The sequence below is a fragment of the Homo sapiens genome, chromosome 17 (genome assembly GCF_000001405.40).
Source record: "Homo sapiens chromosome 17, GRCh38.p14 Primary Assembly".
Classification (NCBI taxonomy): Eukaryota; Metazoa; Chordata; class Mammalia; order Primates; family Hominidae; genus Homo; species Homo sapiens.
Genome location: NC_000017.11, coordinates 41,342,073 through 41,357,478, shown reverse-complemented (window position 1 = coordinate 41,357,478; position 15,406 = coordinate 41,342,073). Strand labels below are relative to the sequence as shown.

The following is a 15,406-nucleotide window of genomic DNA, read 5'->3' as shown; positions in this document are numbered from 1 at the left end:
AGTATAAAATCAAATGGTTTTTAGTATAATGAGAGTTATAACTACTACTACCATTTTAGAACATTTTATTACCTCTAATAGAAACCTTGTACCCATTAGTAGTCACTCTCTGTTCCCTGCAACCCTCCAGGCCCAGGAAATCATTGCTGTCTCTTTAGATTTGCCTGTTCTGGACATTTTATATAATGAAGTCATAGAATATGTGTTTTTTTGGCTAGCTTCATTTACATAGTATGTTTCAAGGTCCATCCATGTTGTAACATATAACAGGTATCATGGAGGAATAAGTGCATGATCCTAACCTAGGATCATGAAGATTTACTTCTACATTTTTTTCCTAAGTTTTCTAGTTTTAGCTGTTACATTTAGGCTGTGCTCCATTTTGAGTCATTTTTTTTGTCTGTGGTGTAAGAAAGGGGTCAAACATTTTATTCTTTTGCATGTGGATGTCTAGTTGTCCCAGCATTATTTACTGAAAAGATTATTTTTCCCCATTAATTATATTGGGACCTATGTTGAATATTAATGGACCATAAATGTGAGGGTTTATTTCTAGACTCTCAATTTTATTCTGTTGGTCTGTATGTCTATCTTTATGCCAATAGAATACTGTCTGTGTTACTGTAGCTTTGTAGTAAGTTTTGAAATCATGAAATGTTAATCCCCCTACTTTGTTCTTCTTTTTCAAGATCGTTTTGGCTATTCTGGTCTTATGCATTTCCACATGAATAAAAGGAACAACACGTCAAGTTCTATAAAACAGCTAGCTGGGATTTTGGTAGGTGTTGTTGAAAGTTTAGATCAACTTGGGTGATACTGCCATCTTAACTGTGGAGCCCAATGGAACATCTCTCCTGTAACACAGAGGTGTGCAGGAAAGAAGGACTGCACTCCTCAAGCCACCCTGCCTGAATCCTCCCTATGTAGAGGGAACTGGGGTTAGAAATGGGTGAGCTATGAAAAATGGGATCTGCTGATGTGTATTGGCTGCTGGGAGGATTGGGAACTGCCACTCAGCTGCCCAGCACATGGTGCTTCTGGAAGGCAGAGACATGAGAAATAATGGAGTCCCTCATTTAAACATCATAGCCCCCAGTGTTCTTATCAAGTTTCCATTTTTTGTGTGTGGTTGTTGAGTAAATGCTTCTCATTTGTTGTAAGCCCTTTAATCAATGCCTAGAGCCTTTGACTGATGTCTTTGTTAATTTTGAGTGGCTTAATAGATGTCTTTCTAGGGGAGAGACTTCCCCAAGCTCTTCATACCACCATTTCTGTGCTTCTTCAAACAGATTTTGGACCTTCACATTCTAGCTTGTCTGTCATCTCTTTCATATTTTCAATCTCTAAATATTTCTGTGTTATATTCTGGTAAATTTCCTTAGAGATCTTTTCCAGTTGACTTATTCTCTTTTCATCTTTGTCTAATTTAATGTTTAACCTATCAATCGAGTTTGAAAATTTGTTGTATTTTACTTTTGTAGAAAAGAAAGGCTCTTTTATTATTAATTTTTTTAGAATTGGCTTTAATAAATGCAATTCTAACAGAGATGACAATACTTTATTTGGCTTTGTAAGAAAGGGATATTTCAGCTATTAAAGCTAACAACAATTTGATACATAAAAAGTGATTGAATAAAGGGAATAATAAGGCAGAAATGCATATTTTATATCTTAACAGAAATGAATAAATGCAACATTCCATGTAAAAACTAACAAAATTACATCAATTCCCAGACAAAATCTATTAGGAGTCAACTTAATTTTATAAAAATGAATTTGTCATTTAATGAAAAAAGTAAAACAATTAAATTTATTGACTCCTAGAACTCTGTTAAAATATTTCTGTGAAGCTCTGTGGAACAATTATTAATAAAATTAAGCTGACAGAACAAATGCAACAATTAAACAATTGCTGTGACTTAATAGGAGAAGTATAAAATATCTAAAAATGTCCAATAGAATTATGAGAGCTAAAACTTTGTTTTTAATTAAAATTTCATTAGTTCAGTAGGAGATGAGTGAAAATTTAGCACCCTGAATAATATTATTGATATCAAAAGAAAATTTTGATTTTTTGAAGCCACAAAAGACCTAGTGATGAAATTTTACACTTAAAATTTGCACTTTAAATTATACTCTTCACTTTTAGAAGTTGTTTGACATTTTTTTTTTAAACATGCCTATACTTTTTGCATAGTGGCTACCATTTTCTTTTAGGGATTTGATTCCTTATTTTGTCGTATAAGCTCTTTAAACATAGTTATTTAATATACTTGGCTTTAACCTTCTGTTTCTTGTATCTTCTCCTCCTTGCTAATTGTGAGTTATTTCCTTGGGTGTTTTGTTAATTTATCAGCATGAAGGTTCTTGCATTGATTCAACCCCCAAACCTTAATGATAAATAGGTCACTAGTTTAACAATCTCAAAGGAGATTTTTACTATTTACTTTTTTTTTTTACTATTTTACTATTTACTATTATTTACTATTATAATTTTAAAATTAGAGCCCACTAAGAGATAGATAGTTCAGCTTTTTAAAGTTTTCCTTTAACAACAAGCATCCTTTATTTTTCTAGTTCACCTTTTTACTAAGGGTTTAGTGTTTAGAGAGACTTGCATCGTTCGGTGGTCTCCGCCTGAACTCTCTCATAAAGACTAAAAGCCTTATCCTATTTCTTTAGTCTAATTTATCCTCTTTCAGTTTAGACTCTTTCACAAGCTCTCTGCAAGTTTGGGCAAGTCACTTCCCCTTTTGGGTCAAAGTTATCCCATTTTTAAAATGAAAGAGTTGAGTGAAATGACCAGTTAGGTCCTTGGTAACTCCAGCATGCTAAGCCTGTAGGCTTTATCTGACTTAGATAGTATTTCCAGAAAAGAAATTTAATTATCCCTTATGTGTATGTGGGAAGTATAGTCTATGGATGCGGGTCAATATGAGGTGGTTCTAGCAGCCAATCTTGGACCATGGGCTAGCAGTCAATGGCAGAATGTTTCTCCAAGGGTTACTCCTCCTTGTCTTCTCCTTCACCCGAAGCTCAGACCTCATGCCAGTCAATTCATGAGCTATAGGTAGCTTGATTTCCCTTCATTCCTTCTTAGTAGCTCACCTTTGGAATGGACAAAGTCAGCAGATATCACAAGGGCATGAATGCCGATCACAACAAAGACTTTATTTCTAGAACAGGCTCAAGTGTAATGTAGTAATTATATTGGAACAGGAGCCTCCTAGGCTTTTTTTTTTTAATAACTCATTGTTCCTCTAGAAGATTTGCAAGAATTTCCTTCTGAAATTTTAAATGTAAATTTTATTTTGTTTATTGTGCAGAAGTAACATATATTTTCAAAGAATTTGGAGAGAAGAAAAAAAACATTCATAATCCTGTCATTTAATAGCATCCAGTGTCATTGTGGTGTGTTTTCTTTAATCTCTCAATTGTCCCCATTTTAATAATAGTTTAATTTTGTTGTGACTATCTTTTGTGTACCTTACTCTGGATAAGCATATTGCTGTCGAGTAGGGTCACCATTGTTTGACCAATTGTTCTAAGTTGCTCCAAACAGATGGGATATAATCTATATCTGATGGGATATAATTATGTTTAAATTACTCCAAATTGTTGGTATATAATTGTATCATCAACTTAGAAATAATTGAAATCAGAGAGTTAACAAGAAACTGTACTATTGCTGAATTCTATCTTTATTTACACATTGACTCATAATTCTTCTTCAACACAGCATATCTATGGTTAACAAGATGTTTTTCTCACTGCCCTTGATTTCTGTCCTTAGGTAATAACAGATCAGATTGTTTGTGAAATTCTTCAACATTTCAGTAGAATGGTGATTGGGCTGATAATGCAGTGGGAATCAGAAGATCTGGGTCCTAGCTAGATGATACTAAGCAAGGCATTTCTCCATTCTGAGCCTCAGTTTCCCCTTCGTAAAACGAACGGTTTGGATGAGTTGACCATTAGGATCCCCAATATCTTGTTCCAAGATTTTCCCTCTCTCTTTTAACCATTTTCATATTTAGGATCTATGTTAGGAGGTAAGAGGGAGGAAGAGAAGAGCCAAATGCAAAGCCATCTGGTTTTTGGTCTGTAGCTGTAGCTGGGAGGCTTGGAAGCTGCTTGGATTGGTAGCTGTAGCTGGGAGGCTTGGAATCTGTTGTCTGCTTTATCCTCTGCTAGCAAGGACATAGGAAGCCCCTCCTCTTTCTGGCCAATGTATGCCTCCTCAGGCCCATACTTGAATTTTTTCCTCATTGCCTCTTTAGGATATCAAATAAGGCTCATCTTACATCTTGTGACAAAACAGAAGTGGTGTCATATGCACGGTCAGTTCAGATTACTCATGCTTCTTGGATAATTGTTCCTAAATAATAAACTATTACGAATCATCAAGTTCAAACAAGTCTGGCATCTGCGTAAAGCCCACTCCAATTATTGTATAAAAGTCTGTATTGGTAAGATCAAAGCTCCAAGCTTAATAATCAGATATATAAATTTATTGCAGCAGAACTTCTCTAAGTAATGAACATCTCAATTCTGTGTGTTTGAAGTCTTGGTTTACCGAAGTTCACTGTGGGCATTACTTTAAGAATGTGCACAGGCGCTGCGTACAGCAGGCATACCTGTGTGACCCTGGAAAGGTCCTGGTAAATTTCTGGTCAAGGCAGCCAATACCCTCTCCATGGTCCTGATCATGTGCGGCCCCTTTGCTGCACTTGGCACTTCTAACATCACCTCCTCTTGGAAGCACCCTCCTTCCTGCCCTTCTGGGATGCCATGAACTTGTTTTTATCATTTTTTTCTCACCATTTCTCCATTTATCACAGATTCTTTTTCCTTCTCCTGATCTCTGATTGGGAAATTCTCCAAAGTTTGGTCCTCAGCTCCTTGTTGCTCTTCTCTTTGTACTCTCCCTTGGCCCAGTTCTCTAACTCTCTCACTTGTACTAAACCTTATCTGTATCATCATCCCTGCCATAAATTCTAGTCTTGCATGGACTGTTGCAATAGTCTCTTTGCTGAACTCTTTGCCTCCAATCTTTCCTTCATTTTTCAAAAACAGATAAATATTTGCTAAAACATTTCCTAAAACACCTTTTGTCACACCACACTTAGGTTCAAAAGCTTATACTGGCTCTACAGCTTCTGGGGAAGTCCAAGCTGCTCCACTTCACCATCGAGACCCCCTACCATAGGGTCCCCATACAATCCCCCATAAAGCTTTAATTTCTAGCACTTCCCTTCACAACTCTCCCCTTCCTGCTGCCTAGACTTACCCTGGTCCTTCAACCATGCCTTGGGCTTTCCCACCCCATTCCTGTGTGCACATTATTCTCCTCACCTGCACTTCCTACTTTTCTCCCCTCTGCTTCTTAGAAGCCTCCCTATCCCAGCACAAATCCATTCATCCATTCCTAAGAGCCTCCAATCCTGGAGCTGCTCGCCCTCCCCAGTGTGTAAACCACTCAGTTATCACTTGTCAACTTCTGCCTCAGATTATTATTTCCTGTTCATCCCTTCATCACTCTACCCACACCCATTCAACAGTGCCTACCAGGTGCCTAGAGCTGGGGATTCAAAGACAAACTAGACCCTGCCCTTGCCTTCAGGGACCTCAAATAGAGACAGAGAGACAAGCACATAAGTCATGACAGTGTCATGCTCAAGGTAAAAAGAGAGCTTGGAGAGGAGAAAGGGACGGCCTGTCTGAAGAAGGGAAGGAAGTAAGCCATTTATATTTAAGCCAAGTGTTGTGATGAAAAGAAAAGTGATCTGCTTTGGAATCCTAGGTCCACAACTTATTATCCTCACCCTCTATGCCTTGGTGTTCTCATCTATAAAATGGGAATTATACAGTTTACCTTTAAGAGTTCTGGTGAGGAATAATGGACATCTAAGTTCTGCATGTTTGAGGATCATGTTTGTAAAAAGGATCTAGTTTGTGAAAAGTGTCCACACTACCTTGGGCTTGTGCAGTTTCTTAACAAGTAAGAACTTCTTCTGACCATAGCATTGAGTCCTATTTTCCACCCCTCCCAGTGTCTATTACATCGCCCTGGATGAAATTGTCATAGTGGATATCTATTATTTGGTTGATTGACGTCATCATGGACATGAAAAAAGCCCATCATATCAGGAAACATGGCCATCAGGAACTGTCCCAGAAAGGATCTATTCCTCTTTCTGAGAACCATGAATTTGGAATTTGGCACTTGGAAATGTGACCTAGCAAAAGACACAGGGCAAGAGCTATGCTTTTCCATTTCACCAAGGAGAGCCAGAGCTTGCCAAAGAGTTAGGGGCCTCAAGCCACAAAGCAGAACAGCAATACTGTCTCTTGACCTGCTGCACCCCACTGAAGAAGGCCAGGGCTTTCATGAGTCCAGGTCTTTGAAGTCACACCATGAAGCTCTTACATCATGACACACAGCATGGAAGAGGAGTCCCGACTTAGCGAGAAGCCCAAGTAAAGTATTTTATGAGGGGAGAGACTCTTCTGAAGAAACACAACAAATGGAGGGAAGGGCTTTTGACAATCACCAAATGAGCAAAAAAAAAAAAAAAAAAAAGGGGTTGTCTTACGTGTCCACACCCTCCATGGACGAGGTATAAATGCTCCCTGGAGGAAGGAGACCCACCGCTCTACAACCTGGAGATTTTGGACTCTGTCTTCAGCTGGACACTCCCTCCCTGCACCATGTCTTACAGTTGTGGCCTGCCCAGCCTGAGCTGCCGCACCAGCTGCTCCTCCCGGCCCTGTGTGCCCCCCAGCTGCCACGGCTGCACCCTGCCCGGGGCCTGCAACATCCCCGCCAATGTGAGCAACTGCAACTGGTTCTGTGAGGGCTCCTTCAATGGCAGTGAGAAGGAGACCATGCAGTTCCTGAACGACCGCCTGGCCAGCTACCTGGAGAAGGTGCGTCAGCTGGAGCGGGACAACGCGGAGCTGGAGAACCTCATCCGGGAGCGGTCACAGCAGCAGGAGCCCTTGGTGTGTGCCAGCTACCAGTCCTACTTCAAGACCATTGAGGAGCTCCAGCAGAAGGTGAGGAGTGGGCGACACAGTGCCTCCAGTAGGAAGTTGTCGGGAGAGAATCCGAGTTGTGATTGAGAAACAACGTAAGCTCTTGATGTGAATGAAAAGCTGAAAACTGGCCTTTCCATTTTGTTTTTTGAGGGCCCATCTAATACTAGACTTGGGACTGTTAGGTCTAAATATTTGCATAGTGTTAGTCTATGTGGAGGTAGCAGCACTTTGCATAAATGAGCTGTAATTAAAAACTACCTCTGAATGCTTCCATGCACCTGCCAAGCTCCAGAATTATTACCCTGAGGTGAGAGAAAAGGACTGAGTCCAAAGGAAGCTGGGGAAACGGAATCTTTTGTAAAGACTGGGCCATTTTCTTTCTCCCTCATCTGAGCTTTTTGCCCCTTGGACTGCTGGCTGCCTCTCTCTTCTAGGTTCCTACTTATCCTGATTTCATTGTCCTCACCTTCATGCCTCTGGGCTTCTCCTGGTGCACAGTGTCCAGTGAGAGCCTAAAATGTTTGGCCCAAATTGGGAAGATTGGAAATTACCTAGGACAAAGTAGTCCCAGTTGTCTGGGACATCTGGGAACATGTGGCTTCTTCCCTGATCCAGTCCCCTGCAATTGCTAGTTTACCTATTTGTCTTTTCTGCTTGATTGAAAGTTTCTTGAGGGCAGGATCAAGTGCTTACCAATTTTTGTATCCTCAGCTCCTAGTATCATGCCAGAAACATAGTAGGTGTTTTTCATAAATGTCAACTATTATGATCAGCTTCTCAGTATTGCTCATTAGGATAGAAAAAAGATTATCTACTTATACTTTTTGCATATTTTGGTGTTCTTTTTTTGAATATAATTTTGGAAATATTCATTGAGTACCTGCTGTATATAGAAAGCATTTAATAAGATAGACATCCTGATCCTTCCAAGGAAGTGAATTAGGAAGGACTGCCATTGGTGAAAAATTACCAAGTCCTTGCTCATTCTTGAATGTTTTGGGCCTTCTAGATCCTGTGCAGCAAGTCTGAGAATGCCAGGCTTGTGGTGCAGATCGACAATGCCAAGCTGGCCTCAGATGACTTCAGGACCAAGTGAGTGGGCAAGCGGGGTGTTGCTGTTTATTTCTCTTCTCTGGCAGCCCTCCTTTCCTTTAGCCTGTTGTCAACACAAGTTAAACAAACAGTGACTGAGCTATGTTCTAGCTGCTTTCTCCAAGATTCACAGAGCCACCACACACCGTAGCTCAGAGATCCTTTCCCCAGGCCTTAGACTTCCTTTCCTCCTTCTTCTCCTCTGTGACGTGACACCCCTAGTCGTACTGTGAGTTAGTGTAGACGTGTTGGCCCCCGATGTTCTCCTATGCACAGAACCCATTCATGAGAATGGAGAATGTGGAAGCATATTATTTTGGAAGTCTTACAGTTTGTCAGCTTTTATCCTAAATCCACTGGCTTTCTTCTTTTTTTTAGAGACAGGGCCTTGCTCTGTCACCCAGGCTGGAGGGCAGTGGTGCAATCATAGCTCAGTGTAACTTCAGATCCTCAGACTCCTGGGCTCAAGCAACCCTCTCCCCTTAGCCTCCTGAATAGCTAGGAATATAGAAGTCTATCCACTGGATCTTTAAACGTAAAATTACCAGTGCATTTTCTTCCAGCTCGATGCTGAAAACCTAAACAAAAGAGATGGCTATAAAAACTACAAACCCTAATTCCTAGTTGCCTGACTAACCAAACCAAAGCAGAGTCAAGGCCAGGCCTATTCCTGCCCAGCCTGTTCCTGACCCTCCTGTGATCACAGATATGAGACCGAGCTGTCCCTGCGGCAGCTGGTGGAGTCGGACATCAATGGCCTGCGCAGGATCCTGGATGAGCTGACCCTGTGCAGGTCTGACCTGGAGGCCCAGGTGGAGTCCCTGAAGGAGGAGCTGCTGTGCCTCAAGCAGAACCATGAGCAGGTGAGTTCCCTGAAGAGTGATGGGCTCAGACTAGCCAGGACCTGTTTCACAACTGCCACAGGGTCCAGGACAGGCTGTCAGTAGAGGCTCAATTAGCTGAGGAAGTAATTCTGCATACAAAAAGGGATATGTAGAGAATGACTAATCTAAAAACCTGTGATATGAGATTAGGATTTTTCTGCCAGAGGCAGGAATGAGAGTGAGGAAGTTGGCAAGCCCAGTAGTGAGGAAAGCTGGGTAATGAGGCAGAAGCCACAGCCTCTCCTGTGCCCAGGTTAGAGTGCATGCAGCAGCAATCTTCTATTCCAATTCTCCATTTGTAGCTGGAGAAGCCAGGATGGCCTAGGCCCATCAGGCAGAGAGGGCTGAGCTAGAACAAAATGCAATTCTCTTCGTTCCTGTCCAGAGCTCTTTCTGCTTGCTGTTCAGTGTTGCTTGGAAACAGCCTTGAGCAAAATGCTCACCATTATGGCTAAGTCAGTTGGGCAAAAAAGAAGACGTGTATTTTATGCAACCTGAAATCCAAGAACAATGTAAATGGTGACAGTTAATATTAATCAAGTGCTTAGTATGTGCCAAACATTGTGCTAAGTGCTTTAACTCCGGAGGCAGTTCTCATGTTAAGATGAAGAAATCGAGGCTTCAAGAAGCTTCTAGAAGCAATGTATTAAGTGGTAGAGATGAGGTTGAATACAAATTTGTCTGAAATCCGCCTAAGCCCAAGTACCAAGCTATGCTTAGCAGGGAAGTAAACAGATACTTATTGCCTTCAGCAAAATCTATGCTGGTGGAATCAACAAATCACCCTTTAAGTCTCTTCTATGCCAGGATGGCAGATTTTGAAGTAAGCATTCTGTATTTCCTCTTTAGCTAGACTCTGTTCTTTTTATTATCCATGCTTAAGAGTCAAACATGTGAGGCTATATGGTATACTAGCAAAAACACTGAACTGGGCATTTGGGGACCAGAGTTTAAATAATGGCCCACCATGTATCAGCTTTGAGCCCAAATCACTGAATCTCTCTAAATGAGGAGTGATACATTTAATACAAAGAGCAGAGGGAAGTCATGGGCTTGAAAGTAGTTTGTAAAAAGTGGAGTATACAAATTAGTCATTGAATATAGATCCTGGTTAGTGACAGGATCAGAGGGAACAAAGTTTCTTGAAAGCTTAAGAATGATCAGAAGTTGAATTGCATTCTCTTAAGGAGAGCACCAAGATCCTTTGTGAAATTTAAAATTTTGCCCTTTCTCCATCAGGAGGTTAACACCCTGCGCTGCCAGCTTGGAGACCGCCTCAACGTGGAGGTGGACGCTGCTCCCACTGTGGACCTGAACCAGGTCCTGAATGAGACCAGGAGTCAGTATGAGGCCCTGGTGGAAACCAACCGCAGGGAAGTGGAGCAATGGTTCGCCACGCAGGTGGGCATCTAAGCACGTGGCCACTCAGGACCCGAGGCCCCCCAGGGCCCCGGAGGCAGGGTCTGATCCTTTCTCCCCTTGGGTGTTTCAGACCGAGGAGCTGAACAAGCAGGTGGTATCCAGCTCGGAGCAGCTGCAGTCCTACCAGGCGGAGATCATCGAGCTGAGACGCACGGTCAATGCCCTGGAGATCGAGCTGCAGGCCCAGCACAACCTGGTGTGTATTGTTCAGACCTGCTGGTGAGCGATGGGAACTTGGGAGGCAGAGTCTTGGGGATGCCCTTGGGGCCACACACTCTCCTTAGCTCTTGGAGCTTGTGAGTTCTTTGGAACCCCATGGAGGAACCTTATAAGGAGCAGCTCTCTGACACTCTCAATCTTCCCCACCACAGCGAGACTCTCTGGAAAACACGCTGACAGAGAGCGAGGCCCGCTACAGCTCCCAGCTGTCCCAGGTGCAGAGACTGATCACCAACGTGGAGTCCCAGCTGGCGGAGATCCGCAGTGACCTGGAGCGGCAGAACCAGGAGTATCAGGTGCTGCTGGACGTGCGGGCGCGGCTGGAGTGTGAGATCAACACGTACCGGAGCCTGCTGGAGAGCGAGGACTGCAAGTCAGTATGGGGGTAGTAATCTTCTCCTTGGGGCATGTTAGGTTGCTGTGGAGATGAATAGTCTTCTTGATGGAAATGAATTTATAATTTCAAGCTTTTGTTTGGAGGAAGTCCAAGGAGGAACAATATTCTTACACAAAGCCCTTTTAGTATTTTCCAATCTCTTCAGCTCATTTTACTCTAACTTGCTCCAATGATTTTCTGCCCACAGGCTCCCCTCCAACCCCTGCGCCACAACCAATGCATGTGACAAGTCCACTGGGCCCTGTATCTCTAATCCCTGTGGCCTACGTGCTCGGTGTGGGCCTTGCAACACATTTGGGTACTAGAGGCCCCACAACCAGGAGGAGAAGAAAGGCATCAGTCACACCTCAACTCTACTTCATCCCAACATCTCCAACAGTGACCACACTTTGGAAAGAGGCAGAAACCTTTCTATCAACCCTGGCTTCCAGGGGTCAGCTCTAGCCTTCCACTGTATTCCCTGGCTTGATTCTTCAGCATAAGGCTGCAAAATCTGTCTTCTGAGTCACATAGAGAGACCTACAGCAGGATCAAGATCAAGCAATATCTATCACCATAAAGACACATTTGCATAACATGTTATACTTGAATAAAACTTAAATAATACAATTTAGAGAAAATTCCATTAAATGTGATAGAGCTGATGGGCATGCTATGAAACAGAACATAATTGGAGCAAATCTTCCTTGTCACTCTTGGTCTTTGGAGATGCAATAGAAATCCTTTGTTAACCTCCTAATAAACTGTTATTCAAAAGTTATAATTGTCTGTTTCACTCATTAATTCCAAAATTGGCTGTCTTGTATAAATTAAAAAAATAACCAGAGTTTTTCCATCAGATGAAGAGGTTATTCACCCCATATATGGCCTATGATTTCCTTCAATGGAAAAGCCTCCATGAAAGACTATTAACCCGGATTTAGTGTTTGGGAAGAAGGTGGTGGGAAACAGAATGGCAAATTCATATGAAGGTGTCTTTAGAGACACAGGAACTATTTATTCTGAAACATTAAGTGGAGGGATCCGAAAACCTTTTGAGTAAAAAAAAAACCTGTACTGAGGTAATATAAATCTATCACCTTAACATATGGTATATAATCTCATATACACATATACATAACCACATACCATATAAGCATATGTACACCACACACACATGCACACACACAACCATGCTGTGCTGAAATGTTTAGGTAGAAAGTAGGAAGGAGCAGCAAAGGGTAGAGGGATATAGTGGCCAGGAGGAGTGTGGGATCTGCTAGGCTGGATGGTGGGGAGGTGCCTTTGGTTCACCTTCCTCTCTTTGTTCCTGCCTCGGCACTCAAGGACTCCTTGTGACTTTCTGTAGTTCTATGATGTGGGCCTGGAACTCTATGCTGGAGTTCTCTGCTCAGTTGCCTGGGGTCTGCGTCAGATGATGGAGAACTGTGAGTGGGTTATTTGGCGGAAAAGTCTCTTTTGTCCTAGTGAGCCTTGAGCTTTGGCCCCACCTGTTTTTATTTATATGCAGTTGGGACCATCATTATGTCACATTACTGCCTTCAGTGGCATCCAGATTTGGCAATGTTTAAAAAAACAAAAACAGCAATCAAGTAAGGAAACCCAAGGCCCAGCCCACAAATGAGATTGAGTCTCATTTTTCACTTCTCTACTCCTACTTTTCTAAATCAATGATTGAAATGAAGAGATATTGAGAATGGGAACTCTTAATAGAGATTAGAATATCATCAACCTATGAGAACAGGTAGGGAGGGGCAGGAGGTAGAGTGGGGGTTGGAAATTCTCTCCAAAACTTGCAGACCATATATTTAGGTGTGGTAGAGATGTCCAGGGAAAAATACCCAAAACCTTCCATTCAGGGCTGTGGATACCAGAGGACAGCTAAGGAGACCAGCCCTCAACAGTTGCTCGTGGCCACCTTCTTCCCTTAGGTGCGGACCAGTCCTCTCTTTTGCGTTAGGGCTAACATAGAGAGAATGCTGAGTCTCAAAGATTGGTCACTCGCTACTCCATTTGTCTTCAGCAGCACAGTCCTATAGAATGGAGAACAGATGTTCCTGAGGATCTGAGAGTCTGGGCTCCTTTTTAGTGGAAGATCATGTATATAAAACATTTCTTTATTTGAGTTTGGAAGAGAAGAATCAGTAGAAAAGGTCTTTATAAACTTTAAAAATAACCTGGATAGGATACAGATTTCAATTAAATCAATGTAGAAAGTCACCTCATCATTAATCATGAATGTCTGCTGCTTGCTTGGAAGGAGGAGATAAATAATGGGTTCAGAATCCTTTCTTTCTCTCTTGTATATTTCAGCAACAATGCAGAGGCAGGAAAAAAAAAGCAAGAATTCTTAAAGGCGAGGTTCTGTTATTCAACCCTGGGCTTTCCCAGGTGCAAACTTAATTTCTCCTTTCTGCAGGTTCCCAGGTCTGCAGTCGCTGAGGTCATCAGCTCCTCGAGCCAGGCCTTCTCAGAAAACAGTGCTCTGAGGGGAGAGGCCCATAGCAAGGAAGCAAGGAAACAAGACCCTGGGAAATGTCTCCTAATCCCTGCCCCACCCTTCCCTGTGAAATAAACCATGATGGCGCTGGGCTATGAGTCTTACCCACTAGGAGATGGTGTGGGATGCTGTGATGAGAAGAAGAATTATGGCTTGTTTTGGAGGCAACATTTTTTGGTCCTGGTTTTGGATATATTGTTGACTCCCCTGACCATCAGAGTCCTCCTTTTGAGAGACCTGGCCTGGCAGCATTGTGGGGTTGTGAAGATCCCCTGTGTATGGAAGTGCTTTATAAATGGTGCAGCATGGTACCTATGTAAGACTCAGTATTCTTGTTGTTGACACTTTGACCTTGAATACGAATTCCTGGGCTCTTGGGATCTAAGTTTGATATTGTCTAGTCCCAGTAAAACATTCTACTCAGCCTCCTAACAGCCTGTTTGCTCCTATTTTTGACAGATGTGAACCGAGCTCCTATTGTCTCAGTTTGGAGAGCTTGCCTGAGAGGTGACATTTGCATTGAGACCTGAAAACAGAGAAGAAACAGAGCAGAGGGAAAGAGCTTTCCAGAGAGAGGGACAGAAAGTCAAGGAAGGGAGGGAGTAAGGCAGTTGCCTTTGAAGAAGGGAGCAAGGCCAGGGCATCGGGAGTGATGAGTAGGGGAGGAACAATCAGCCTGTATGTGTGGGCAGTGGCCAGGGTACATGGGGGCTCGCCAGTTCTGTGGAGGATCCGATTTCATTTCAAGGGAAGAGGAAAGCCTTGGGAGAGTTAAAAGGATGAATTTGATTGACACTTTTATTAAAAGGAGTGCATTGGCAGCTGAATGGAAAATAGGTTTACTGAACACTAACATTTAAAGTTTCAGGGTAGTGGATGACAATTACAAGTCAGGTATGTCTTCTTTTATGTTTCAAAGAAGAATCACTGACATCTAACAACAACTGCTCACATTTCTCATCAAAAACAGGAGAGTCTGGCAGCAGGCACCAAAAGTCCCAAGAATGGCTCCAACTATAAAAGGATATGAGGATGACATGATCTGTCCCTTGTTATTGCAAAATGCACACTGACAACTTGATGAAGTTATGTGCCAGGCAGGTGGGCCCCGGCCCCACCAGGCTCCTCGCTGAGCCTGCTGCAGGTGTGCAGAGGTAGCTTTCCCTCACTCTCACTTTTTTTTTTTAAACTTGTAGGGACAAGCACAGGACTGAAATGTAAAGTGTAGGGGGAGCCCTTGAAACTATTGCTATGGAATAAAAGATGAAATGCTCCTGATTATTGTAAATACAAAGTTGCATGCAGGATTGTGTAAAGACAATGCCAGGCTGGACTACCAGAATAAGCCAACAGCGTGTGATGTGCTTCCCCCTGCAGAGTCTATGAACGGAAGGGCAGGCAGGGATGTTTCACATCACCAAGATTCCTATCCCAGAAAAGCAGATGTTCATAGCTCTGAGAACGGAATGCGACCCTTGAGGAGAGCCTATAAACGGACGCATGAGGGGTGCATGTTCATATGGATAAGATAGGGCTATAAATGCCCTCATCTTGCCACAGCTCTTCTAGGCCTCTTTAGGGTTAAGGCATTCTCCCTTCTGAGAATTTCTGGTCTAACCTGTTGTCTAGCTTCACGTCCTGTTTCTATGGATTGTTTGTAACCAGCTTTTGCTGCAACTGTTACTGCTGATTAATATCTTGCTAATCACAGGTTATGGAAACACTGTGTTTCTGTTTTAAGGCTCTGTTAGAAATTACTGATGCACATACTATATTGTAAATTCTTATCTCTGTATATTGTACTTCTGCATACAGATGTTATGTTAAAGAATTGCTTCATCCCCATGTGAC

The 15,406-nt window shown here is 42.4% G+C and overlaps 1 protein-coding gene and 1 long non-coding RNA gene across 3 annotated transcripts, besides 2 other annotated features; one reads left to right on the top strand and one right to left on the bottom strand.

The window, feature by feature from the left end:
- On the bottom strand, window positions 3,681-5,982 carry LOC105371778 (uncharacterized). Its single transcript, XR_001753056.1, has 2 exons — window positions 5,876-5,982; window positions 3,681-5,057 (listed from the first exon to the last, which is right to left on the bottom strand). It is a non-coding gene; the product is annotated as an uncharacterized LOC105371778 (long non-coding RNA).
- KRT33A (keratin 33A) lies at window positions 6,651-11,387 on the top strand. Of its 2 annotated transcripts, NM_004138.4 has the most exons (7): window positions 6,651-7,059; window positions 8,051-8,133; window positions 8,840-8,996; window positions 10,257-10,418; window positions 10,510-10,635; window positions 10,811-11,031; window positions 11,243-11,387. In NM_004138.4, the coding sequence occupies exons 1-7, from the start codon at window positions 6,712-6,714 to the stop codon at window positions 11,358-11,360; spliced, it is 1,215 nt and encodes a 404-aa protein (NP_004129.2). In that variant the 5' UTR covers window positions 6,651-6,711; the 3' UTR covers window positions 11,361-11,387. The 2 variants fall into 2 exon arrangements, with proteins under 2 accessions (NP_004129.2, XP_011523088.1); XM_011524786.4 differs by lacking the exons at window positions 6,651-7,059; window positions 8,051-8,133; window positions 8,840-8,996 and adding an exon at window positions 9,475-9,840.
- Window positions 10,018-10,518: an enhancer, noted in NCBI's record as "H3K4me1 hESC enhancer chr17:39503213-39503713 (GRCh37/hg19 assembly coordinates)". NCBI's record gives its function as "activates a minimal SCP1, AML or CMV promoter by ChIP-STARR-seq in naive H9 embryonic stem cells {active_cell/tissue: H9 hESC(naive)}" and the evidence as "EXISTENCE:reporter gene assay evidence [ECO:0000049][PMID:30033119]".
- Window positions 10,519-11,019: an enhancer, noted in NCBI's record as "H3K4me1 hESC enhancer chr17:39502712-39503212 (GRCh37/hg19 assembly coordinates)". NCBI's record gives its function as "activates a minimal SCP1, AML or CMV promoter by ChIP-STARR-seq in naive H9 embryonic stem cells {active_cell/tissue: H9 hESC(naive)}" and the evidence as "EXISTENCE:reporter gene assay evidence [ECO:0000049][PMID:30033119]".